Raw genomic sequence first — 27,128 nt, 5'->3', positions numbered from 1 at the left:
CACAACACATCCATAAAGATTCCCTCATGGATTATAACCTGATTGGGAGAAAACCACTTTCAGTCATTTCCATTGTGTGGACCATTTACTGACATATCTAGTTGAAGAGTCACTTAACACACTAGTGATGTTTCACTTTGAATGCTATCGGATAATCTGCTTTCTTGAGGTTGTGTTCTACTTTGTCATGTAGACTTGTGCATTTCATACCAGAATGTGTATACCATTAGCACCCCATTGACGTGGTAAAGGTATCCCCAAATCATAGAATAATTTATTCTGGTGGATCTCCATGAAGAGGTTTTTTTTTTTTTTTTCCCTTGAAGAGTTTAGTAGGAAAATACATCATTTTTATATTTTATTTTTATTTTTATTTTTTGAGGTGGAGTCTTGTTCTTTCTCCCAGGCTAGAGTGCAGTGGCACAATCTCAGCTCACTGCAACCTCCGCCTCCCGGGTTCAATCGATTCTCCTACTTCAGCCTCCTGAGTAGCTGGGATTACAGGTGCACAGCACCACACCAGCTAATTTTTGTATTATTAGTAGAGATGGAGTTTCACCATGTTGGCCAGGCTGGTCTCGAACTCCTGACCTCAAGTGATCTGCCCACCTCACCCTCCCAAAGTGCTGGGATTACAGGCGTGAGTCACTGCGCCTGGCCCATTTTTACATTTTAAATGGCCAAATTAATGCTGTTGTATAATGCAAGATTTTGAAGGTTTTCAGTGATACTTCCTGCCTACTTAGGTCCCCTTTGATTTGTGCCTCCAGACCCTTCCTTTCTCATGGGTTGACATTTACCACCCTCTCCCTTTCCCCGATTGCCATGGAGGTATATTTTGGTGGGAATATTTGAGACCAAACGTATTTTCTGTGCTAATCATTACTTCTTAAAAAATTATAGTTGCTCCTTCTTCCACTGAGCATTTTAATCGTGGAGTTTGAGCATCTTAGCCTGCTTAATAAAAATGCTTGGGTGTTCCTTGCACATGATAGGAAATTATAGGACGGCATGGGGTTAGCATCCAGGAGAGAGGGAGGGTCTTGGGTTGGGGGATGGCATTGGAAATAGAAGCAGGGGGGAAGGTGAGATGGAATAGGAATTGTAGTGAGGGCTGAGAGGATGTGAGGGCTGCCTGCAGGTGGGAGCCATAGGATGGAGAAGAGAAAATCATGACTTCAGACTTGAGCTTGCCTGACACAGCGGATGGCAGTGTGCATAACAGAGATGGGAAACTCCATGAGGAAGGCTTCAGTGGGCAGGGCCTGTAAACTACAGCAGTTCTCCAGCCTTGTTGGCACCAGGGACCAGAATCATGGGAGACGGTTTTTCCATGGACCAGAGGAGGGGATGGTTTCAGGATGATTCAAGCACATAACATTTATTCTGCACTTTATTTTCATTATTATTACCTTGTATTATATAATGAAGTAATTATACAACTCACCATAATATAGAATCAGTGGGAGCCCTGAGCTTGTTTTCCTGCAACTAGATGGTCCCATCTGGGGTTGATGGGAGACAGTGACAGATCATCAGGCATTAGATTCTCATAAGGAGTGCACAACTTTGATCCCTCACATGTGCAGTTCACAATAGGGTTTACGCTTCTATGAGAAGCTAATGCCACTGCTTATGTGACAGGAGGCAGAGCTCAGGTGGTGATGTGAGCTGTGGGCAGCGGCTGTAAACACAGATGAAGCTTCACTTGCTTGCCTGACGCTGACCTCCTGCTGTGCAGCCTGGCTTCTAACAGGCCACGGAAACCAGTCTGTGGCCCGGGGACTGGGGACCCCTGAACTAGGGTACTCAGAATTTGGAGATGAGGGTCAGAAATCTGTCTAGAAATACCCAGGTGACAGTCATAATTTATCTTTCTTCAAAAACCTTCTTGTTCTTTTCTCTTGATCACATTTATTCAGGAGTGGTTGCACTCTACTCTTCTTTTCTAGTCCTCTTTTGGCCAGTTAAATGTGGTTTAGGTTTTTTACTGTTTCATGATCAATTATACTATGCTTAAGCCACAGAGAGAAAAGCCACTAATTCTCGTGCTATTGTGAAACAATAAAACATCTAAGTGTATTTCCTTCTAGTCTTTTTTGGAATTTAAATAAATATATAGTTGCAATTATCTTGTGCTTATAACTTTTTATCCTACTTTCTTTTCCTAACGTAACTATTTTCATATTGCCATATTATCTTTTATGAACGGTGTAATAGATCATCCAGTCATTACACAGATATTATTAGGTGCCTACTCTGTGCCAGGGCATGTTCAGTATCTTTCAGGTGACATGTCCCACCCATGTAGGGCTTCATAATTAATTACTGTCTTTCTCCATGAGGACGTCATCACTATTAGAGATGTAACAGTTCTTTTTGTGTGTGTCATAGCTTGCAGGGTATTTATTTTGCAGGATGCCTCCCAGGTCGTTGTGACAACCAAAAATGCTCCCACACAGCTCCTAATATCAACCCCCTTCTAACTCCCAATTGAGGATCACCAGTTTAAACCATAATTTGGTTAACTATGTTCCTTCTGTTGGACATTTGATTTGGTTTCCTTTTGTTCTCTTTCTTTCATTTGCGGGTGGTGGCGGGGAGGTGGCGGGCAGTTATACATCAGTTGTATCTATGACTCTGCCATTTCATTGTAGAACAGGTCCTTGGGTTATAGGTGGTTTTTCCTGCCACTTTGTTACTTGTGAGAAGGCTATACACAAAATTTTGGGACAATATTTTGACAATGCTTAGAGGAAGGACATATGACATGAGGGGAGCCACTTCTGAATAAGATCTAATGTTGGAAATTTTTGTTTCTTCCTCTCAGTTCCTTCATTTTTTTTCACATCGATCCTATCTACCAGCCCAAAGGTGGAGTGTATTTCAGGGGAGCATATTGGGCCATAGTACTGGAGAATGTTTGCTGACCCACAATTTAGGGTCTCACTTAAAATCCTAGTTCTGCCATTTCCTAGCTGTATGTACCTAGGTAAATTATTCCATCCAGTTGCATCTCTTTTTATCTTCCTCTGTTAAATAATAGTATACTCCACAGAGAGCTCCTGTGAGATTAAATGAGCTATGCACGTGATGTTATTCTGTTACCTAAAATGGAGACCAGTGTTTGTCTAATGGAGTGTAGTGGTTACAGACACAGGCTCTAGTGCTAGGCTATGTGTTCAAATCTTAGTTCAGTTATTTTTTAGCTGTCTGGCCCTTTCATAAGTTATTTTGCCATACTGAGCCTTGGTTCCCCATCTGAGAAGTTGAAATTTAAAAAAATCCCTCTTACTGTGTCATCATAAGGACTAACTAATTGAAGGTGCCCTGGAGTGCAATGCCTGCATGTGGTTGGAGCACACCATAAATGGCAGCTGCAGAGCTAGACATATCTTGGGGAGTTTGAATAAGTGGGGTTAATATGTAGACTAGTTTTCTCTGTTCTCACTTTGGGGGAAAAACCAACTAGCGTTTCCATTATTCTAATCTACTTCTCTTATGGACTAGAATAGTTAAAATTAACAAAATGCCTTGTTAGGAGTAAAATGGGAGCTTGGATTCTCTTTATTATTTGTTTTCTGGACTGGGGTTTCCTGTTGGAGTTCTGGGCTGGTTTCAAAGTCCCAGATGCTGGGCAGAATAAGAAGAGGTCTTCCCTCAGGGTTGGCATCATTTACTTCATTGAAGTGAAATAGCGTGTATCAGAGCAAGTGGAACCGACACCCAAAATATGACTTGAAGAATGTAATTTAAAATGTAGCATAGAAAAAAAAAAAGGAAAAGTATGATTTTACATATTTTCAGAACTTCTACTGAATCCTCTCGGACCCATAAGATTTTTCATTTTTTGGTCAATCATTTTTGTATGGTTTGTGTCGAGTGTTTATTGGGTATGAACAGTTCTGTACCTTCTGTCTTGAAAGTCTAAATCTTTATTCCTTACCAAGAATGATGGAACACAGTTAAATAGGGGAATTCACATAATCCAGGGTGAGAGTGGTCCTGAGGAGGTAAAAACAAACACCCTGACAAAAAGGTATGTCCTCTGCAAAATAAGAATTCCTTACTTATAACTCCTCCCCCAACAAAAATATGACCCTAAAGGCAATGAAGCACACAAAACATAATGAAAAACTATAAAACGTACCTTCTAGCATCGACTTTTAGTGACTCACTGACTTCATAATAAAATGTAAATGTAATTACATTTGGCCATCTTCTACCATTAGGCAAACTGGAGGAAGAAGTACAGGGAACCTCTCCCAGTAGGGCTGTAGAACAAATTCAGATAAATCTTTAAACCTGGGAGTCACCTGGTGTTATGCTGCCGGGTCTTTCTTGGTCTGCTCAGATGGAACCACTTTGAATCATCAGAACATGGAGTTATCATTTTATTCACCTGGGAACGTGGTAAAGCTGCCGCTGTATTCCAGGATTATATGATTCTTAAGATATTGGTGATTCATAAAGTGACACAGTAACAAAACATGTGGGGTCCTTGAAGGTATGGCTTTCAGGGTGGACTGTCTCATTTCTACCTTTTTTTTTCTTTTCTATCACTTGAGTATTCAATTTGCATGTCCGCTATAAACGTAAACTTAGCCTGTGTTCCATCTGAGTTGAAAAGAATGGAACATTGTTATAGTTTTGCCTAAAAGGAAGGCCCTGCAGTTGTTTTGAATCCTTTGTGGAATGACTAGAAGGTGTATACTCAAAACATTCGTTTGTACTCTGGGTGATTATTGGTGGGATATACCATTTTTGTGTTATATTGGGTACAGTAGAAAAATCTGAAAAGTGTGACCTAATATTCCCATTGACAAACCTCAGTTATTTCGCCCTGTTCTTTTCCTTTATAACACTTGTCAAAGTTTATAATTATATACATATAATTAATTTTTGGTGTATGTTTACTATAACATATAATAAACATAAAAGTGTACTTATTATACTATATAATTTATATATATAATTAAATATGTGTATTTGTGTATGTTTATTCAATGTAAACTTTTCCCCTTTGGGGTGTAAACCTCATAAGAGCACAGACCATGTCAATTTTTGTAACCATCTAGCACACAGTAGGATGCAGTAAATAGTTGTTGAATCAATGTTTTGTCCAAGCAAGGAAACAGAATAATAATGGTGAACATGTATTTAATATTTAATGTAGCAGATTCTTTGTGAAATGCTATACAGGGATTATCCCACTTACCCTTGCCACAAGTCTTTAGGTGGTCACTCTCTAACTGCTCCCATTGTAGAGGTAGGAAGCTGAGGCTTAGGAAGGTTAAGGCACAGACTCATGGTCACGTGGGTGCAAGTACCATTCAAATCCAGTTCTGTCTGTCTCAGAAGCTTATGCCATTCAAGACTAGTTGATACACTGAATAGTTGAAGTTTATGAGATCTCCTAGTTCAGCAGTATTTCTCTCTGCAATATTCAGTGTTTTCTTTTCTTTTCTTTTCTTTTTTTCTGGAGACAGAAGTGTTGCTCTGTTGCCCAGGCTGGAGGGCAGTGGTGTGATATCTGCTCATTGCAACCTCTGCCTCCGGGTTCAAGCAATTCTCGTGCCTCAGCCTCCCAAATAGCTGGGACTACAGGAGCGCACACCACGTCTGGCTAATTTTTTGTATTTTTGGTGGAGACGCGGTTCACCATGTTGCCCAGACTGGTCTTGAACTCCTGAGCTCAGGCAATCTGCCCTCCTCAGCCTCCCAAAGTGCTGGGATTAAAGGCGTGAGCCACCGCACCGGCCTCAAACGTTGTTTTTTAAGGAAAGCCATTAGGATTTGACTCAAGTCATTAAGAAAGAAGAATTACTTATGAATAACAACAATAATAGTAACACACATTCTCTTAGCTGTGTATTAGGTATTCCACTAAGCTCTTTGTACAAATTAACTGATTTTATCTGTATAACAACTCTATGTGGTAGATACTGTTATTATTCCTGTTTTACAGATGAAGAAACAGGCTCAGGAAGGTTAAGGAGATGTTAAATAACTTACCCACGGTCACACAGCTAGAATGTAGGAGAGAACACATTAATAAATTACTTTAGAACTTCTTTCCAAAGGACAGTAGGAGCTAGAGACTCAAAATTCCTTTTTTATGTTTTATGAATATTTTATTTTTATTAATTTTATTTTATTAATATTTTATTTTATTTTATCTGCAATATTTTGAAATCAGGAGGCAGTTGGAAAGCGAGAGGAGAGAGAGATCACCAGGGCTGTGAGTTTTTAGAGTTCATAGATTACCCCACATGAGGCCATTTCTGTCCTACAGACAGGATGCTGCCTATAGGTGTTGCTTTGAATTTTATCTATAGGCATAAGACCAAAGAACTTGCAGGGATGTGGAGAGCTACTGCACATCATCTGTGTGCAAAATTCACTGGGGGGGAACTGATATTTGAGAAAGTTCCAGTGAAAAATCGGGCTTTCAGTTGAGGGTGGTCTGCAGCTTTTACGGTTTTTAGCTCCCTGGCTTTCCATTTTGGCTTTTGCTTCTTTTCCTCCCTCATTACATTCAGCAAGGAAATGGACACTCTAATATGATCATCAAAGCCCAGCTAAGATTTCATAATTACCAGTTGGTAATCCATGTGAATTTCTGTGTGGGCTAAGTCACTTAGTAGATGTTATTTTCTTCATCATACTCCCATTTGGATCCCAGGAATGACTCAAGAAATTTGCTTCTTTCCTCAATTAAAATGGAAACAATTTTGCAACTGTTTGTTTGAGGGAAGACTGGCTTTACAAGAAGGTGACTTAGAAGGGGTGGTTTTCTGGGAAAGAGATTAAACTATAGAATGGTCCTGTGTGTTTTAAATAATGCTGACATATTTTGTTGATGCTGGCTATTTTATTTGATTGCTATCCGTTCTGAAGTCTTCCCCTCCTTTTTCCTTCTTTGAAATCTGTTGGTTACTATGGAAACAGTGTTGTTTTGGGTTTGGGTGGAGCTGTATCCACAAATGCAGTATAAAGTCATTTATAAAATGGGTTAATATTTATTCTGGCTGGGCATATATGGAACTTGATGTAATGATAATCATGATCACACATGCAGAATAAATTTGCACTTTTATTGTTATTTTCTTAGTCAGTCTAAATGTGTGCCATTTTGCTTGGAATGCACTGTCATTTCCTCTCTGATTTGGATATTGCCATTTACAAGGCAACACCCAGCGCCGGTGGAATTGCTCTGAGTTGGAAGTATTCGACAGGCCTCAAACATCCCTGGGTCCAAATTCTCATTCAGGAGAGTGACTCCTGAGATATCTTTTGTGTCTTGCTCAAGCACCCACATGCCAACGTGGTCCTGCTCGTTTTTCTCTTTCAGATCTTCAGTCAAGTGGAGTTGTCTGGTGCTTCTCCTTTCACACTGATGCTTGTGTCAGCAGTGAAGTGCTGTTCTTAAAAGCCTCACATGATTCAGGATGTATTAATGAGAGTCCATGAAAGAGTCACGGCCAGTGACTTGTCCAGGCCCCAGGGGGAAAACAAGGAAAGGGTAGGGATTTGGGAAAGGCTGTAGAGGTGATCCATGGCAATGATGAAAGGGTGGTGAATGGGATCTTTTTAGAACGGTTAAAGGAATGGAAACTACTTAACATATAGAGGAGAAGCCTGGTTTGGGGGTGGGTGGGAGTTTTAATGTCTTTATACATAACAAAAGGAATTGTAAGCAAGGGGCTGTTCACCCCGCTGTTCTCCAGAGACCTAACATTAGAAAGGTATCACGTGTCGAAGAGCAGGTGAGATCCCTGTGTGATGTGAGAACATGGCAAGAGTCTTTCAAGGTAGCCCGACTCTGGAACAGGACAGTCACACCAAGGAGAAATGTTGGGGTCCTTCACCTTCACGTCAATCAGGCATACTTATTGACATTTGGTGGCTGATTTGCAAATCCTTTTTGAAGCCAAGCAATGACTTAGATGACCCTTTGGAAATTTCTTACAGACTCCTGAGTTCAATTTATGTCATCATATCGTGATTGAATTTTTGAAATTCATTTTTTCAAATGTTTGGACAGGTATTTTTATCTCACCAAAAATGAATACAGGAATGTGAAAGAAAAAAAAAAACATTGCTTCTCCAAGGATTAAAAATCCCACCTAATGAGGACTGTTGGAATGATCAGGTATCTTGATCTTATATTTAACAATGCTGTGACCCTTTATGGTACCTTAAATAAGGGTGGATCTACTTTTCCAAGTCCATTCAGCTAAGAAGAGTTTTGGTAGATCATGAATAGACTTGTAACATATTGGAATCTGTGGAACCTTGTAGATTGTCAGGATTGGTGGCTCACAAAGCACGGTCCCTGTACTGCAGCATCAGCATCATCTGGAAATTTGGTAGAAGTGCGTTCATGGGTCCTATTCCAGACCTCCTGAATCAGAAACTCAAAGAGGGAGATCCAACGATCTTTGTTTTAACAAGTCTTTCAGTATGAGAATTACTGGGCTCCACCATCCCTCATTTACTTAGAAGATTAGCATAGTAATATAAAGTTTTGGGCTAATTGGCAGTCTTTGTCATTGTTGCCATGGTGACCAATTAACCTGGCTCAGGAAAAGGAAAGTTTTTTTAGCCACAGGCTACCCCCAACTATCTTATAAAGACGTTTTCTTCCTTTAATACAAGAGCTGTCGTGGCATGGCTGAGGACACACCTTGAACAATAGTAAGGAGGAAGTCCCTGGATAAAGGGCCGCCGTGTCTTAGAATAATGTATTAAAATCATTTTCATCAGTCATTTCTTTTTGGGGAGATTCCATTTGTCCACCACCCACCCACCTACCCATGTATCCTTCTATTAACTTGTCTTTTCATCCATCTACCCATCCAATCATCCAACAATTCTTTGCTGAAATCCTACTTCGTTCCAGGTACTGTGTGGTGAATGAAGCAGAAGGAAGAAATTTATCATCCTCTGAACGTTACTGGTATATAGGTATATATGTGTGTGTATGTATATATGTATGTGTATATATATGTATGTGCATAGGCATAAGTATGTATGCATGTACGTGTATGTATATATACGTGTATGTTTGTTATATACACATACATACACACACACGTACACACACATATAATAATGTTTCCTTTTTCTCAAGCTCGCAACATCTGTGGTGCCCAAAGCCCAAGTACCCAGTCACCTCCTTCAGCATTTTTTTCTTTTTGTTTTTCTGGCCTTGGGCTGGCTCCCCAACCCACTAAATTCTCCTGCAGTAACATGAGTTTTCCCATTGAAGCTAAGTGTTCATTAAATTGTAAAGACAAACAAAACGTATCCAAGGATAAGTATCACTTGAGAAACACAGATGTCATCATTCCTGGCATGTGTCTGTGTTTAGAGCTTGTACCTGCGTCTCTCATGTAGAACTATATGGTAAGGAGAGGGAAGATGCAACCCCCTGCCCTAGGCAGTGCTCTTTGTGACCTTCCCGATGGTCGGATATATCTTTCTACTTTCTCCCTGTAAACTCTGGGGTGGGGCTCACGTCCCTGCACTCAGCGCTGAGTCAGCATCAGACTCCGCCTCCATTGTCCAGTGTTGTTTTCTGCACCCACCCCCTAAGCTATTTTCTCAATGGAAGAGGAAGGAAAAAAAAATTCCGCTGAAAACAATCCAATCCCGATCAGATTCGCATAGCATAATAAACGCTTGTTTGGACATTGCTTGGACTGTCATTTTAGCAAGAATCTTCTGTTTGATTAAATAGCTTCTCTGTTATGTATTGAACAAAATGAAATGTATGTCATAACAGATATAACTAGATGATGACAACTTTCCTTGACTGTGAATTTCATTAAAGATATACATTTGTGTTGTATCCCTTTGAATGACAGAAGTTGACAAATAGCTGGGGAAAGTTGTTTTCTGGAGAAAAGTTAGCAGCTCGCCTGTTCAGATTTTTTCCAGCCCCAAGACAAAAATAAGGGCAGGCCAGGAAAGCAGAGAGGTTGGGTACTGTCGAGCAGCAGTCAGTGGTGGAGAGAAGGCAGAGGAAGCGTCCTTGAAAGGTCTGGGGCAGGCTTAGGATGGGCTGGCATCTGTTTCCAAGGGGTCTGTACGCACTTGTGCCTGGTTGCCAGCTTTATAAGTGTTTCGTTTTATCTGTCCAGCATGTTGCTTAGATCAATGGTCCCCAACCTTTTTGGCACCGGGGACTTGTTTCATGGAAGACAGTTTTTCCATGGATGCGAGGGGTTGGGGGTAGTGGTTTCCAGATGAAACTGTTCCACCTCAGATCATCAGGCATTAGTTAGGTTCTCATAAGGAGTGCACAACCTAGATCCCTCACATGCACAGTTCACAATAGGGTTCGCCCTCCTGTGAGAATCCAATGCCGCTGCTGATGTGACAGGAGGCGGAGCTCAGGCTGTAATGCTTGCTTGCCCTCTGCTCACTTCTTGTGCATCCGGTTTCCTAACGGGCCATGGGCTGGTACGTGTCTGTGGCCTGGGGGTTAAGGACCCCTAGCTTAGATGGATGGAAAGATGGATTTGCTCTTTTTTTAAACTCTTAGAGCACCTCCACTGTGCTAAGACAACAATGAGTGAAACCAAGCACGGACCCTGCCCTTGTGGAGCATTGCATGAATAAACGTGAGGTTTCAGTGCCATCTTCAGTGATGTAAAACAGAGGCTGTGGGACGTGCACAAGGTTAGATTTCACAGAGCAGGGAGTTAGACGGCTTAGGTTAGACCACGTCCTGGCTGTTCCATCTTAAGCAAATTCCTTAAGCACCCAGTGCCTCAGTTTTCCCATCTGCTGAGTGGAGATCATATTAGTCTCCACTTCATAGCATTGTTATGAAGAAGATGACAATTCTAGCCTGGCCCTCTTCTTCTTCTTCTTCTTCTTCTTCTTTTTTTTTTTTTTTTTCTGAGACAGAGTTTCACTCTTGTTGCCCAGGCTGGAGTGCAATGGTGTGATCTCGGCTCACCACAATCTCTGCCTCCCAGGTTCAAGCAATTCTCCTGTCTCAGCCTCCCAAGTAGCCGGGATTACAGACATGTGCCACCACGCCCAGCTAATTTTGTATTTTCAATAGAGACGGGGTTTCTCCTTGTTGGTCAGGCTGGTCTTGAACTCCTGACCTCAGGTGATCCGCCTACCTCGGACTCCCAAAGTGCTGGGATTACAGGCTTAAGCCACTGTGCCCAGCCTTAGCCTGGCCATCTTCTAAGTGCTTACAATAGCTCACTGGATCCACACATGGTAGAAAACCCTATGAGGCAGGTGCTACAGTCTCCATTTTACAGATGAGGAAACTAAGGGTTAGATGTCAAGTAGCTCCTATGAGGTTATGTAAGGGGAAGGGGGGCAGTTTGGAGACTAGACTTGGGGCAGTCTGGTTTCCCACTTCTGCTTAGTCCCCTGCTTGCCACAAAGTCAGTCCTCTGTGTGTGCCACCTTTGTAATGGCTAGTCAAGGGCCTCGGCTTCCCTGAGGAAGTGACTGTTGAGCGGAAATCAGAGAGGCCACTTGTCTTCAGTCATCCCCTCACCTTGGGGGTGAAAAGGGTAGAGCAGAGGCCAGCTTGCTTCTTGGCAGTGCCTATGGAGAAGGGCTGTTTTTTGAAAGTGCCAGGTCGGGGGGAGGGCATCTTGCTATTTGGCTTCTTGACTTCCCAACTCCCAGGAGCCAGAGGAACCCTGGCTCCAGTCAACTCCCAAAGAGGCTGAGCATGGAACAGTAGTAACTTGGCCTCTGATTCACCTTCCCCCTCTCAGGAGAGCACTCCAACTTGTGTGGGGCCTTTAAGGAGACATCTCTGGGGCCCTCTTTGGAGGTCGCTGACTTTGGCAGTGAGCCGAGAGCCCCGCACTGTGGGGAGCAGGGCATTCTCTGGGGATGCTGGTCACCTGCTCCCGACTTGCAGACCTGTAGGCAGTTACCTTGTTTTCCTTCTTTTTGAGACAGGATCTCGTTCTGTCGCCCAGGCTGGAGTGCAGTGATACGATTATGGCTCACTGCAACCTCCGTCTCCCGGGCTCAGTTGATCCGCCCACTTCAACTCCCAAGTAGCTGGGACCACAGCATGTGCCATCACGCCCAGCTAATTTTTAAATTTCTTGTAGAGATGGCGTCTCCCTATGTTGCCCAGGTTGGTCTTGAACTCCTGAGCTTAAGCAGTCCTCCTGCCTTGGCCTCCCAAAGTGCTGGGATAGAAGCGTGAGCCACCATGTGTAGCCTGTTTTCTTAATTAGTGTACCTCATTTACAGATTGGTAAACTGGACACTCAGCCTTTGCAGAAATGTATATTTGATGCCACCTCTCAATCCTGTTCAGGCTGGATCCCCTCTTGCCAGTGTCTTCCTCTTGGCCAGCATCCATACTTCCGTTATTACAAAATATATGCCTCTGCAGGTGCTGTTCTTGGTCCTAGCCAAGAACCAAGAGTAGCCAGACAAAACCTCCAGGACATGATTAATTGAACTGTGCTGTGTTTGGGGTCAAGACGCAGTCATGATAGTTACCCTGGTAGCTGCTTTCTTGCTTTCATTAAACAGTGCCTTTAATTCAGGGACCACAAAGCATGGTACAGGCATTAATTGAAAGTACAACACCCCGTGAGGTAGAAGTTGTTATAGTTATCTTCATATCTCCTGGGGAGAGACCCCAGCCCAGAGAATCTCAGCATCACCATTCATGTCAGGCAATTGGGAGAGCCTGTTGCATACAGCTCCTTAGTGTGGGATGTCTTCCCTGCCAGCAGGGCCCTGAATTTTCCTGAACCCATAGCCATGTGGTAGGTGTGAGCTGTTTTCCAAAGGTGACCTGTGGTGGGTATATTCCCCCTTGGTGAGTTTTTTTTTTTTTTTTTTTTTTTTTTGAGACAGTGTCTTACTGTGTCACCCAGCAGTGGTGTGATCTCAGCTCACTGCAACCTCCGCCTCCCGGGTTCAAGCAATTCTCGTGCCTCAGCCTCCTGAGTAGCTGGGATTATAGGCCTATGCCACCATGCCCAGCTAACTTTTTGTATTTTTAGTAGAGTCGGGGTTTCACCATGTTGCTGAGGCTAGTCTCGAACTCCTGACCTTAAGCAATCTGCCTGCCTCAGCCTCCCAAAGTGCTGGAATTACAGGTGTGAGCCACCATGCTTGGCCTCCTTGACAAGTTCGGAGGTCTGAGAATGACAATCACAGAGAGGAGAGGCTTTCCTGCCAAGGTTTAAGTCATTTGCTGGCCTTGCAGGCAGGCACCTTCCATGTGAAAATGCACATTTGGTTGATTGATGGGGCGTAGGAGGTGGTTTTATACATGGTGCTGTCTTTGGCATAGCATTGGTTTTCGAGAGAAGACCTGGGGTGACCAGCCTGCTAGGCCAAGTTCAGCAGTAAACTCAAGTCAGCAATATATATGTGGCGGTCCTTAATCTGGACCAGATGAAGCTACATCACACACAAATAAAAAACATGTTGAAGGCGGTGGCTGGTTTGAATTTTCCTTCATCGGATGACTAGAATACAATGGAGTTACACGGAATTTCTTCTGAGTCAAGTCCAGATTTCTAACATAGATGCAATGATTTCCCTCTCACATCTTCACTGATTTTTAAATTCTACGGAGGTTTTGGCTGAAGACACCTGGTGAAATTTCAGCTTTACACGAATGGGTTCTCACTTATTTTATTCTGTCTTAGAAAGTTGAACGGCGACTGGAGCTTACCAAGAAGGAGAACTTTATCTGTGTAGTTGGCCCATCATGGATACGTGATTCTGTGAGGCTGAGTGTACCTCTGAAAAGCCTAGTGCACTCCAGAAGGCAGGTGGAAGGTGTTGTTTGAAGTGAACCCTATTTTATTTTTCTCAAGAAATTCTTGAGCTGATTCTGTGACATGAACATCTAAACAGAGTAACCAGATTCCAACTGCATGACTCGAATAGGTTTACACATTTTTCTTCTGTCCCGCCTTTCAAACAAAATGGTAAATAACTTCATTTCCAGGCCAGTTTAGCATTCCCATTTTTTACCCTGATGAGTCTCATTTTAATGAGCAATTTGCTTTATCCAGTAGTGCATTAGTGAAGTGTTTCCTGATTTTATGCGGCAAGTGTTTATGTGCAGTCCTGTAAGGCCTTCCTCTTGGTGAATTCCTTTCTCTACTAGTGAACTATTTAAGGCAGACAATATCAACACCAGGTAGTGATAGTTCCAGTTTTATGGGACGTCCTTGTTAGCATTCAGGTATCCTTGATTCTCCCCTCTGCCTAAAGGGAGTGTCAGTTCTTCTGGGGAGGGTTAAGTTCTCTCAGTGTTAATCACTCTTTCTTAGAATGCCAAGCCCTGCCAATCTTCTCTTGATGGGGTAACTTTACACTGTGATACCAGAGACCTGTGGTCCCTGTAAGCAGTTACCTTGTTTTCCTTCTTTTTTTTTTTTCTTCGATACAGAGTCTCGCTCTTTTTCCCAGGCTGGAGTGCAGTGGCGCGATCTTGGCTCACTGCACCCTTTGCCTCCCAGGTTCAAGCAGTTCTCTGCCTCAGCCTCCTGAGTAGCTGGGATTACAGGCGCCTGTCACCACGCCCTGCTAATTTTTGTTTTTTTAGTAGAGACGGGGTTTCATCATCTTGGCCAGGCTGGTCTTGAACTCCTGACCTTGTGATCCACCCGCTTCGGCCTCCCAAAGTGCTGGGATTACAGGCACGAGCCACCACGCCCGGCCTCTTGTTTTTCTTCTTTTTGATTTTTTGAGACAGGGTCTCATTCTGTCGCCCAGGCTGGAACACAGTGATACGATCATGGCTCATTTAAAACTGATGTCATAACCCTGCAGAATCTACCGTACACTTACTATGTTGCATGAGATCTCCTTGAACACTCGTTTCTGGGTAATTCGTCGATCTGTGTTTTTAGACGTGATGTTAGTTTGACTTTTTACACGGAATGAGAATAAGATCATCAACCCACTTTATTCTAATATGAAACAAAAGCCATTGTGACTGAAATGGAGAGTTCTGTGTGACTCACACCACCATATAATATGCTTTGTACACAGAGTTCCAAAGAGATTTATAACTTTTAGGCACCATTTTATTATAGCTCGTACTGATGAAACTCAAGAATGGACAAAGTCTTTTTAACTTCCCCAAGATAAAACTCAAACCTCTCTCTACAACCAAACAAACAAAAACGTCTAAGAATTTAGGTTTCAGTCACAAATTCCTAGATGATATTGCCCATCTCTTTATTGTAAAACTGTACCGGTTGTTTTTTTCCCTTCAGCTTGTCAGAGCTATTCCCGACAGTCAAAGGCACCACCATCAGACAGTTCTAAGAAGGGAATTTGGCTTAATTCTCCACATTGTTCTTTCAGCTAGATACGGTGTACAATCAAATTTTGCTAAGCTTACATGGTTGCCACTCAGAATGATGAATTCTCTCAGCTACCAGTGTATAATGTAAGACTCTTATTTTCCCTTTCTTTGTTTTAGGTTAGAAAAATTAGGCCAGGCGCGGTAGCTCACGCTTGTAATCCCAGCACTTTGGGAGGCCAAGGCAGGCAGATTGCCTGAGCTCAGGAGTTTATGACCAGCCTGGGCAACACGGTAAAACCCCGTGTATACTAAAATACAAAAAAAGTTAGCCAAGCCTGGCGGTGTGCACCTGTAGTCCCAGCTACTTGGGAGGCTGAGGCAAGAGAATTCCTTGAACTCGGGAGGCGGAGATTGCAGTGAGCTGAGATTGTGCCACTGCACTCCAGCCTGGGCGACAGAGTGAGACTCTGTCTCAAAAACAACAACAACAAAAAAAAACGAAAAAAACCAAAAAATCAAAAATTAGCGGGGCATGGTGGTAGGTGGCTGTGTCACCAGCTACTCGAGAGGCTGAGGCAGGAGAATCGCTTGAATCCAGGAGGTGGAGGTTGCAGTGAGCTGAGATCACGCCACTGCATTCCAGCTTGGGTGATAGAGTGAGACTGTCACAAAAAACAAACAAACAAACAAACAAACAAAGCCTTTACTCCTCTAGACCAGCTAAATGGTTTGCTAATATCAAGAAGATGGACGAATCACGAGGTCAGGAGATTGAGACCATCCTGGCTAACACAGTGAAACCCCGTCTCTACTAAAAAATAGAAAAAATTAGCCGTGCATGGTGGTGGGCGCCTGTAGTCCCAGCTACTTGGGAGGCTCAGGCAGGAAAATGGCGTGAACCCGGGAGGCAGAGCTTGCAGTGAGCCGAGATCGCGCCACTGCACTCCAGCCTGGGTGACAGAGTGAGACTCCATCTTAAAAAAAGAAAAAAAAAAAAGAAGATGGGGCCTGATATATTATTTTAGGATCCAATGGCACGTAATCTTTCTTCTTAAGTTCTAATGGCCAAGAATACTATAAAAAAAGAAACAAATCAGCATTCATTTCCTATGAAAATTGAAATCAGCTTAACACACTGATTAATTATCTCATTCTTCTGAAATCATGATATATAGTCTTTTTCATGTGTGTTTGCCTTTCTTAAACACATTGGGAAGCAAATGTTTTATTTTAGCTGTATTTGAATTTGGAGGCTAAAATAATATGATTTTGAATGGAATATTTATTTGTGATGAAGGGATTTTAAAAAACAACAACCCCATATCTATTACATGAGGGACACAAGACGAAGAGGGAGATTGCCTTTTGGCATTCTTTTTGTGACAATTTCACAAATCTTTATTAACTGAATAGAAAAAAAGCTGCGTTAGGAAGGGAACTAGAGAGACTCCATCATCTGTTCCCCTGTAGGTAATTTTTACACCTTTTTCAGTATTTAAATACTTCTTAACTGCTAGATGTCCATCTGTATCCCCTTCTTGGGTCTCAGAACTAGTGTATGAAGCATGACCTTGTAACTTGCTTTGTTTATACATCTGTCAGGACAATATGTTATCTTTCCTTAAAAATGCAAATGTGCTTCTTGCAATCCAGAGCTCTTCAGTCAATAAATAAATTGAGGTAAAGACTGTACCTAATACCCATTTAATTTAAATTCATTTTATAAACATAAAGACGCCTTTTAAGAGAAGCTTTAATTCCTACTAGCACCTTGATTTGTGGTTACCATGGAGAATCAAATCTGTCATTTGACAAGAAAAGTCACCCATTTATGACAGCACTTTATCTTGTCTCTCCAGGGGAAGAAAATGTCAAAAGTGAGAGCAGAAAAAAAATAAAGCCTTGAAACACCAGAATTTCTTGATTTCATTTTTATTATTCAGCTATCATATCCTTTCTGATAATAGCAACTTGGTGAAAATAAATAATGTTCCTACAGTAAAATCAAATATTTCCTATTGGAATGGACAAGGTTCTTTGTGACTGTCAGTGCTGTGAAGTCTGGCAAGAAATAGTGTTATTAGATAAACCTACGGTGCCCAAATCCCATTTTCTTTTCATTATAGTGTCAAAATAATTATACCTGTGTAATTTGGGTAAGAAATTGCAGAATAAGTAAAATGGTCCATTGCAAGAGATTGCTTTACGCTTGTGTTCCTTACAGGGTGGGGTTTCTACCAGCTAAAGAAATAAATGCTGGGGAAAGTATTTTCATTTGAATAAAGATGTAGAGTAGGTCTTCCATATTATTTGCTAAATGGATAGGTAAATGCTATATTCTGTTATTTTGCTCACATACCTATTTTGCAAATCAGAGTAAAAAGGCAGAATATTTCACCTTGTCAAGCACAGGGATATTACACTTTCCCAAAATTAAAAAAATGTATATTTCGTTTGATCTGATGCTTGTTTGGGGTTTTTGAAAATGGGGTTGCACCTTGAGAAATTGACAGTATGTAAAGTTCTGATCCTGGGTGATTTCTTTATAGCTTGACATGTGTCTATGTAATGTGTGTATGTGGACATGTATACATTGGAAGGATTTTTGCCTGCATGCTGCTTTCATGGTTAAACTCTTTTTTGAGATTTGCATTGCATTAAACAAAAATGTTGGCATTCTGCTCACATAAGCACATGAAAATAATCTGGGCTGCATCTTTCTTGAGGGGCAATGTTTTTGATTGTTGGAGTATTATATAGCTTGATGTGGTCCAGAAGTGAAGTAATCTTGTATCAATGAGATAGCATTGTAATAGCAAGCCCTTTAGTAAAGGTTTAGTGTAAATATCTGACTGGTAGGGGAGCTGGTTTCTGGAACAGTTGTGCCTCTGTGAGATTACGAAAATGGAGAGAAAGAAAGGGCTGAACTCTAATTTTCCTGAAATTGGTGCGTGGTGCTGGAGTTGTAGCCAATACTGGTTGAGATGTGCTGCAAGGAAGCCTGGAGCACAATAGTCCCTGTCCTGTGCCCCCATGTTGGGCACTGGGAAGCGGAGTGTGTTTTGCTAAAAGGAAGAAAGTAAAGAGAAGAAATGGCTAAGGCTTGTAGTAAACAAACTTACCCATAAATATCAATAAAATCCTATTTCCCAGGCATATCTCTTCGAGTGCTTTGATTGTGCATGTCAGAGCAACTGCAAATTTTGACCCAGTGGTTAAGCCCTTTCCCCTAGTATTTTTGTGTACAGGAGTTCTCAGTTGCTGCAGTGTGAGACATAGTATACTAAAATATGCTTTAGAGGGATTTGCACTAAATGCGAATCTGCAAAAGCACTGTAATTCATAATTAATGCTTTCTTGTTTCACACTCCTGAGTCCTTTTGGTCTTCTACTTTGATAAAGTTGTTGCTTTAATTTCATGGGGGTAGAGATGGAGAGGTGGATCAACCCCTCAAGGACTTGGATCTCTTTTGTGATTACCGAGGATATTTTAGGTATGTACCTGGCAGAAAGAGAGGATTTGTTTGATTTTTGATGAAAAATGGTCCATGCTAATTGATAGTAAAATTGCAATATAGCACAGTAATTGTAATTTACCTAGAAGTTCTAGGATCATGTGGGTACAGTACTACTGCATATTTTCTTAAATCCAGTGTGCATAAATTCATTAGGTTTGCTTTTCTGACTTTGATTTTATTGGATTGCTAATTTTGAAAATGGTATTAATCCACAAGTATATTATGATATAAATATGTTATTACTGTCACTTTCACCCTGATTTCTGTGGATTTCAGATGCTTTTTTTTTTTAAGTTTCATAGTGAGGATTAGCAGAGACATTTAAGAACATGGCAGAGATGTGTGAATGAGTAAACTCTGTCTTCAGTAGCCCAGCATTCTGTCAGCACTCTCCAATACCCATCTTTATATCCTAGCATGAGAACTCGTGTTTGTGTATTCTGCTGTCTTTAAGGGTAAATGACACATCTCTCAGATAAGTTACCAGGGCAGTCTTTTTCATATGGGGCATTTTCTATAGCAATAACCTGCTAACACTCTTTCTTTAAAAATAAAGCCACTGATATGAGTTGACATAGATATATCACAGAAAAAAAAAAAAACTACCAATAACTGACTTTCTGATATTCCATGGGTTGCTTTTGATAGTAGAATTACCACGTTGTTAGTAATAAAAATACCTAGCATATTTGGCACTTACTAGATTTCAGTCACTGTGTGATTTGGGTATCTCACGACGTTTCTGTGGAGTAGGAACTGCTCTTATCCTCCTCTTCCAGACAAGAAAGTGATGTTGAAGAAGACAAATACATTGTCCTGAGTCCCCAAGCTAGTGTGTAGGGGAGTTGGGAACAGGCTTCTTCCATAGTCTCTAGGAGAGAAAAGGAAGGGCTGACCCTCAAGGGGAACATGTAAAACAAATTTCGGTTCTTATTCTGATGTTGACAATATGTATATGAAATATCAGCTCCATACATTGTGAATCAGGTCTCACGTGCTGAAAAATGAGATGTACAAGAAAACCCGGCACCTTCCATCTAGTGGAGCTTCTTTGCTTCTGCAATATTGAAAGTAACAGAAACCCTTATTTACATTTCAGAAATAGTTTCCTCAAATTTCCTGTTTTGCCTGACTTTTGTGTGTCCCCTCTCTCTCTCTTTCTCTGTTGTGCCTGCTGCCCTGTGCTTTGCAATACAGCAAGGGCGACTTGTTTGTTGGTTTCAAAAAGTATGCCCCATATATCTTTGCTAGGGAAGGGCTGTTGCTACCTCCCTCAAATACTTGAATCATCTGAGCAAGGGCAACTGTTATTCTTTCCACAGACATTACCTCCTTTCCCTCGGTTTGGCATGACTTTTTGGCTGTGATTTTTTGGAAACCCTTTGTCCATCCAAGTTACTTTACCTGAAGGCTTGCTTCATTGTGTTATTAATGTAGTCAAATTATAGTCGTGTTTTAATAACTTAATTGCACAAAAAAAGAACACTTTAAACTGAAAAGTGGAATGATGGTGTTTATTAAACCATTCTTGCATATTCCCGCAGATCTGCAATGGGAGATAAAGCAAGCATCAGTTTGCATGTGGCTGTCACCCCATACCCACCCGTAACTATCACTAATAGCTCTTTTCTTTCTTAGGTAACTTGCAAAAGGGAAATTGCAACTGTTGGAAGTGTGATCCTTTAAAATATTTTGACTCTTCGTATTAACAAAAAACATTTGGGCTTCTTCTCCCAAATTGAAACTTGGGCCTTTAAGAGCATGACGTGGGAGAGGTACCCAGAAGCAAATGTGTCTTGTTTCTCTCGCAGGTTGCAATTAGTTAATTCTTTGAAATCCCACCCCATCCAACATTTAAGAGTTTTCATTATTTGTTTTATGCAGTTTGTATCAAAAGCAGTCTTTTCTTAAACATTTAAATTTAGGACCCCTTTGAGAGCTAGTTTCCAAGTTTTCTTTAATTAAAAGGGAAGGGTGTTTAATGACTAAAAGCTAACATATAATGGGTTATTTATTGCTGCTTGTTAAATTAGTTGGAGTTGGTTTGGTCCTAGACAAAGTGAATATTAGATTTAAGGAGGGTGCTTTCCGTCTTTAGCTGGTCTGTTTTTGTTTGAAGTTGTCTATACGTAGGGATGTACTCTCAGATGTATGCCTCTGTATTTCAGACGGCGGGGGGGATGTGTGCTCGTGTGGCTATTTCCACGTCCGCCTGTCATTTTCTATGAAGAGTTTAGCACTGAAAGCATGTGTGAATGCATGTGTTACCGAGAATGCACACATTTCCTTTTAAAAAACTGACTATTTGTAAAGAGATGTATATCATTCATAAGAATTCCAGAACACTGCCCCCGCCTCATTCACTTTAGGGCATATACAAAGCTATGACATGGTTTTTGAAGTTTTTGCAGATTATTCAGTTACCAAATGTCGATCAGTTTAACAGTATATTGAAACCAGCTCCAGAAGCAGCACAGAGGAGATGCACATTTGAAGTTGCTCAGTGGTTTTCAGACTGGTGTGGGCCCTAGGACTACCTGAGTGCCAGTGATTCTAATTCAGTGGGTCTGAGAGAGATGGCGCTCAGAAAGCAGTTTTTTTTTTGTTTTTTTTTTTAAAGAAAACAAGTTGCTTTGATGATTCGAATCCACGTATTCCACAGACTTTTACATATGTTCTGAAAGTTAGGGAACTTTCGCTACCATCTCCCCATCAAGAGCAGCTGCATCATAGTTCTTCTAGAGCACAGTCCTCCTCATACCTTGAGGTGCATGGAGGTCAAGCTGCAGATCTTGTCAAAATGCAGATTCTTGTTCAGTATGTCTAAGGTAGAGGCTGGGACCCTGCATCTTTGATAATGTTCAGGCTGCTGGTCGAGGCCACACTTGGAACCTCAAGGTTCAGTCATTTATATTGTGGAGTTTTTGAAAATCAAATAAAAATTATAAAGCGACTCTTTGGGTGCTTTTTGTCTCTGTGGTTTTCTATCGAACACCTGTCTCTCTCTGTGCCTTAGCTCCTGCTTCAGTGGGTAACCACGTCTGTGAACATTAAGGAGCATTTTCACAAAACGTGAAAATACAGATGATGTGCCTCGTGTATGTGGAGGCACAGTGATTCTAGATTAGCCCCGGCGACCCTAGCTCTGATCACGCTGTAGGAGTATAGTTCTCCCAGCTGGACGGAGGGTTCTTTAGGATTCTTTAGAGACACTTTCTCTTACCTCTTCTATTGCTGCTGTTATGCAACAAAATAGAGCAAATGTAGTTCTAAACTCCAGGGTCACTGGAGAAGGGACATCTTACAAAGGGGTGCAGAGGGTGGTAAGAGAAGTAACAATCTAGCTCAGGATTTTCCTGCTAAAGTATAAATATTTGCTTAGTAAAGGATTAGACAGCAGAAGAGGTGGTTTGGTGGAAATACCTGCCAGGCCTGTTTCAGAGTTACAGCCCCTTAAAACTTGATGTGTTCATTGTCTTAAGACACAGATGTCTGGTTCATAATGCGTTTGTAAGATACTCTTTGCATAAAAAGGGATGAGGAGAGTCTTTCCATAAATACTTTATATTTTTATCTCTAGAAGGCAGAAGCTATTAGGATGTTGGTGTCTGACTTTAGTACATATTTGTAAATTCCCTTTACTCTTGGGCTCTTTGAAAGAGCAGTGTGATCAGAGGGCTTAACTCTAAATGTCATCAGCATTTTGGGGATGGTGTTTATTTCTTCAACGAGAATAAGATTCCAGATCCCAAAAATGATATTGATAATCTCAGTGAGTTTGGTCAGGCTCTCCAGGTTGGGGAGGGGCTTGGTTTTATTTGTTAAGAAGTAGGAGTTAAACTTCAGTGAGTTTTATGTGTCCATCAGTACCAGACATTGTTTGCTCCTGTGTTGAAATCCTATTACAGCCTATCCTTTGATGCGGCCAGTAGGGCTGCCGGGATCACACTGCAAATCTGCTTTGGCTGTTAGGATAGCCAAGGTAACCAGGTCTCAAAATATTCATGTGCATATATCATTCAGCTTGAATATTGCATCTGATAATTGGACCAAGTACTCCTTTGCCTAGTAGACATTATGAAATGACATTGGTAGGATGGAGTTTGGGGAAGGGATCTTGCTTTATTCTTGGTGTCTGTTTAGTTGGCTGGTCTTGGCATTTATCATGAAGCTGTGTATATATGTATTTCATTTTCTTAGGAAATTAGGAAGTGTGGGGACATACCCTGATACTGGCCCAAACATCACCAAGTGTGAATAGGATTGTGGGATTTGTGTCCTGGAAGTAATGCGAGGTAAGCTGTATTACAGGGGGCTGAAACTCAAATTGTTATGGCAGCCACACAGTTAATTTAAAAGAATTAAGCAGATGGGGTGAGAAGAGTAAAGAACTAGGCAGCACAGGCTTTATTTAAAGGGAGCTGTTGTTGCTGCCTCACTCCAGCCAGTTGTTGTCAGGACTTTGGGCCATATTGTTGGATTTTCTGATTTTTCTACAGATGCCAGAAAGCACTCTTGTAAGTAGTAAGAGTGGTCTTCAAATTCCTTGGAGATTTGTTCATTTCATCCATTGGGACTCCACTGAGTGAAAGGGGAAGGAAGGGAGGGAGGCCAGTGTGTGGAATTCATTTCATTTTCTGGGAACACCAGCTGATTTTGTCAGCAACTGAAAAGCTATCAAACAATAACATTTCACTGCAGTTGACTTGGGAGGGAGGCAGGCACTCCTGCTCTGTGACCATCAAAGGATGACAGGTCTTGACCAAAGCAGCATCCTCGGTAAAAAAATGTATGCCTTGTCCCTCCAAGTTCAACCCTCTCAAATATTAAAATACAACAAGAGCCTCCTTTGGGGGTCAGTAAGCCTGAATCTCATCATTTATCCCAGAGAAAATAAAATTATGTCTAGAAACTCATTCATTATTTTGCCAGTTCCAAATTGTCCCTATCTTGCCTTGCTGGCTCTTTGAGTTGCCACGTCATTAGAAAATAAGGTATCATTGTACGTGAATCACCTGGTTTTCTAGGTTGTTACCTATAAACATAGCTGCAACAGAATAAATACCTTTCCATTTCCCCCTCTTGGCATGGGGGCTGACTTAATAATTAAACTCCTGAGTATTTAGTCTTGAGACTAATTTCTGTAGTCTGAAAGAGGTTTCTGTATGTTAGAGCTTTTCATGATCCCTTTAAAGTTCCTTTTGATGATATTGTTTCCAAAGATGCAGAGTGGTAGGTATTAGAAATGGATATACATTCACCTTTTGGGGGCTCCGAGAGTGATTAATTTTAGAGACGTCGCCAGTAAATATTTGGCAATGACATGTACGTCTTTACCCTCCTGGCGCTGACTTTTGTCACAGAGAAGTGTGGGGCCACCTGCACAGGAGATGCATGTCTTCATAAATGAGAGAGGCAGGTTTCTTTTTCTTGAAACACTGCACTCTAGGAAGTTATTGTTTTACCTGTAGAATTACTAGCCCAGAGGTAGCCTGGAGTTAGCACACACATTTTTATTTGGGGCTTTAACAGTTCTTCTAGCAAGACCTTTTTCCTGTTTAATAACTAAGTAATTTAACACCTACACAAATGAGACCCAGTTTGCTTTCCTTTTTGGTTCTAGTATTTTCTACACATTTTTCATTTCGCTTAAAAATAGGGGATGGCCACTTGATGTGTTTGTCCCAGTGTTGAAAATATGGTGTATCCCTAAAGCTATTTTCACTGTCACTCTGCCTGATGTTAGCCTATCGAAGCATTTGACTACTGGTACTTTAATTACTGTATTGTTCATCAGGTTAAATTGTATTTAATTGGCTTTGTATTTTGTCTTTTTGTTTCAATGAAAGGATTACTGGGGGTGTTAAAAAAAAAACTCATTTAAATGAAGCTTCATCATCTAAAACACATACGAAAATTCTTTAAGATGTCTTTTATTCCAGATCTCTTTATCTTCCTTCACAAGCTTTCTGAGAATAAGTAGTGCATGTTGAGGTTTATCTTCGCTTTTATGTGCTCTAGCCACTTGCTTAACATTGAGCACATTTGAGTTGCATTTCATCGGGCTTTCACAATCCTTTTATAAAGGGACTGATCTGTTAACATCACCCTCTTTAGATCTAGCAGACAGGATGTTCTTCCATACAAAGAAGTGCTCACAGTCTTTCTGGCCGGCCAGTAAGTGAATGATTTCAGGCCTGGTGGGCAATACTTGTGTCCATGCGTAACACAGCCCAACCACAGTAGTAGGCAGCTGCATGTAATTTTGAACTCCACTCATTGAACTGTAATAAAACAATATAAGCACTGCTTGGGGGGAAGATTGGATGCAGTTATCCTTACACAAGGCTCAGGCATATGAAAGCAGTGCTGGCTGACAAGAGGATTTTGAGATTTGATTTTGATTGAATTGCAGAATTGAACAGGCCAGGAATGTCAGTGGAAGGCTAAACGCCTGTAGTGCCATAAAGTTTTATTCATGTGAGGCTTTCCAATATCAAGTAGATGGATTATTGGAAAAGGTGTCAAGGGACATGAAATGGAAGTGCCCAAAACATAAAATGTAGGCAGGAGGGAGAAATTACTTCTTGCTTAGTATATATAATTAGGTCTTCAAAAAAAAAAAGAATATTCCATAAAATTGTTTATTCTTCCCTCTTTAAATTAAAAAAATGACCAACTCATCTTATCACTTACTACTTATTTTATGCCATCACAAGAAACAGTATTTAGACAGGAGCTTGTCCTATGCCATTCTTCAGTTTTGTTCGAAATTAACATAGGCTTTCTTTAAGAGAAAGGGCAGGGTGAACCAAGAATATCACAGTACACTAGACATTAGGAACTATTATGTTCAGAAACAAGAGCAAGCCATGTGTTCACACATCCTAACACACTGACTTATTTCGTAGCTTGGTAATGCATACAAAATCGTACACAAATTTGCATCGGACAGCTGAGATCAAAATTTCTGTGGCATTAGAGAGTGGCATTCACTGGCAACGAGCTTGTCATTCTGCAGTGAAGTTATGAAGAAGGTTGAGCTGGGGAGGGCGAAGTTCATTGTCGTCCCATTCCTTATCAGTATGTAGAGTTTCTGTTCTGATAGCAGGTGAAGTACATCTAAAAATTGCCAGCATGGAGGTACAGAAACACCTGTAGTTTTTTAGTTGTGAATCTATTTGTTTAGCATTTCTAACCAAAGTAGTTTCAGTTAAATCATTGAAATTAGGAACATAAACACATTGACTCTAATACGCAGGTGTGATTTTTCTTTGTCTTCCACCTACCTCTTCTAATGTCTTATGTATTTAGAAACCTGTTTATTTGTAAATGAGGCTTTGTGAGGTTAAAGTGGAAAACTTCAGAAGGAAATTTTAAAGGACTTATGTTTATAAAGCCCCTTTTCCTTTTTAATGCTCAATTCGTAGACATGTTGGGAAAGAAATTTCATGCCTTATGACTGAAGTCACCTCTCTGAGATTTTTTAAACTTTTATTTACCTCGTATTTCATAGACCTATGTGAGATTGTATTTAGTTATACTTTGTTATGGTTTAGCTTTTCTAAAAATAAACTTTGTGAATATTTATCTAATGAAACAATGATTCATTTATAAACAGCCCCTTAAAAAAGAATTCCTCAATTCGAGTGGTCAGATTGCATGATCAGTAAGTGACCCCTATTCATTTTACATTGCACCCCTTTCTTCCATAGGGTTTACATGGGCAAAAATTATATCTGAGAATAGGATTTTCTGCTGCTTGTAGAATTAATCCCTGTTTGTATGGGAGAGGACAAGAAAAGGTTGTTGAGGGCTGATGAAAGGAAACCCTCACAAAGTTGCAAAGAGCTGCCTTTGAACTTGGTAAGGTTCTAGGAAATAGTCCTTTGCCTGGGCTGCTCCCAGCCATGAAATTCTGGGTTTTAAAGGAAAGATGTGTTGTAATGTTGCCCATCAGTGTACATCTTGGAGCCTCCTTGCAGGTTACTGCCACACACACACAAATGCATGAAAATTACATTTCACTTCTTTTAACACCGGATTAAGGGGAGCCACAGAGGGTGTTTAGGGTGGAAAATTTAAGGAGGCATTTGCTGTCAATGCTGATCTTGAACTTGGACGATCCTGAGAGCTAGTGCCTCCCTAAATTTTGCACCCTAGGCACCTTGCTTGCCTCCTATAATTTGGGCCCTGCTCTATTTTTGCAATTAAGAAAAACCTTGACCCAAGTAAAACACATCAATTTTTTGCTCTTTCTATATTTCTACCCTGTTTTTATTACCAAAATTTAATAATGACAATGAATATGATCATAT

General features: G+C 41.0%; 1 protein-coding gene across 10 annotated transcripts in view, besides 1 other annotated feature; it reads left to right on the top strand.

Moving 5' to 3' along the window:
- FOXP1 (forkhead box P1) overlaps positions 1 to 27,128 on the top strand; it is a 629,271-nt gene that overhangs the window by 107,758 nt on the left and 494,385 nt on the right. The gene's annotated exons all lie outside the window — the stretch shown is intronic.
- Positions 22,549 to 22,843: a silencer, noted in NCBI's record as "tiled region #10822; K562 Repressive non-DNase unmatched - State 23:Low". NCBI's record gives its function as "represses a minimal TATA promoter and a strong SV40 promoter by Sharpr-MPRA in K562 cells {active_cell/tissue: K562}" and the evidence as "EXISTENCE:reporter gene assay evidence [ECO:0000049][PMID:27701403]".

The sequence above is a fragment of the Homo sapiens genome, chromosome 3 (assembly GCF_000001405.40).
Source record: "Homo sapiens chromosome 3, GRCh38.p14 Primary Assembly".
Taxonomy (NCBI): Eukaryota; Metazoa; Chordata; class Mammalia; order Primates; family Hominidae; genus Homo; species Homo sapiens.
This window is presented reverse-complemented; position numbering and strand designations above follow the sequence as displayed.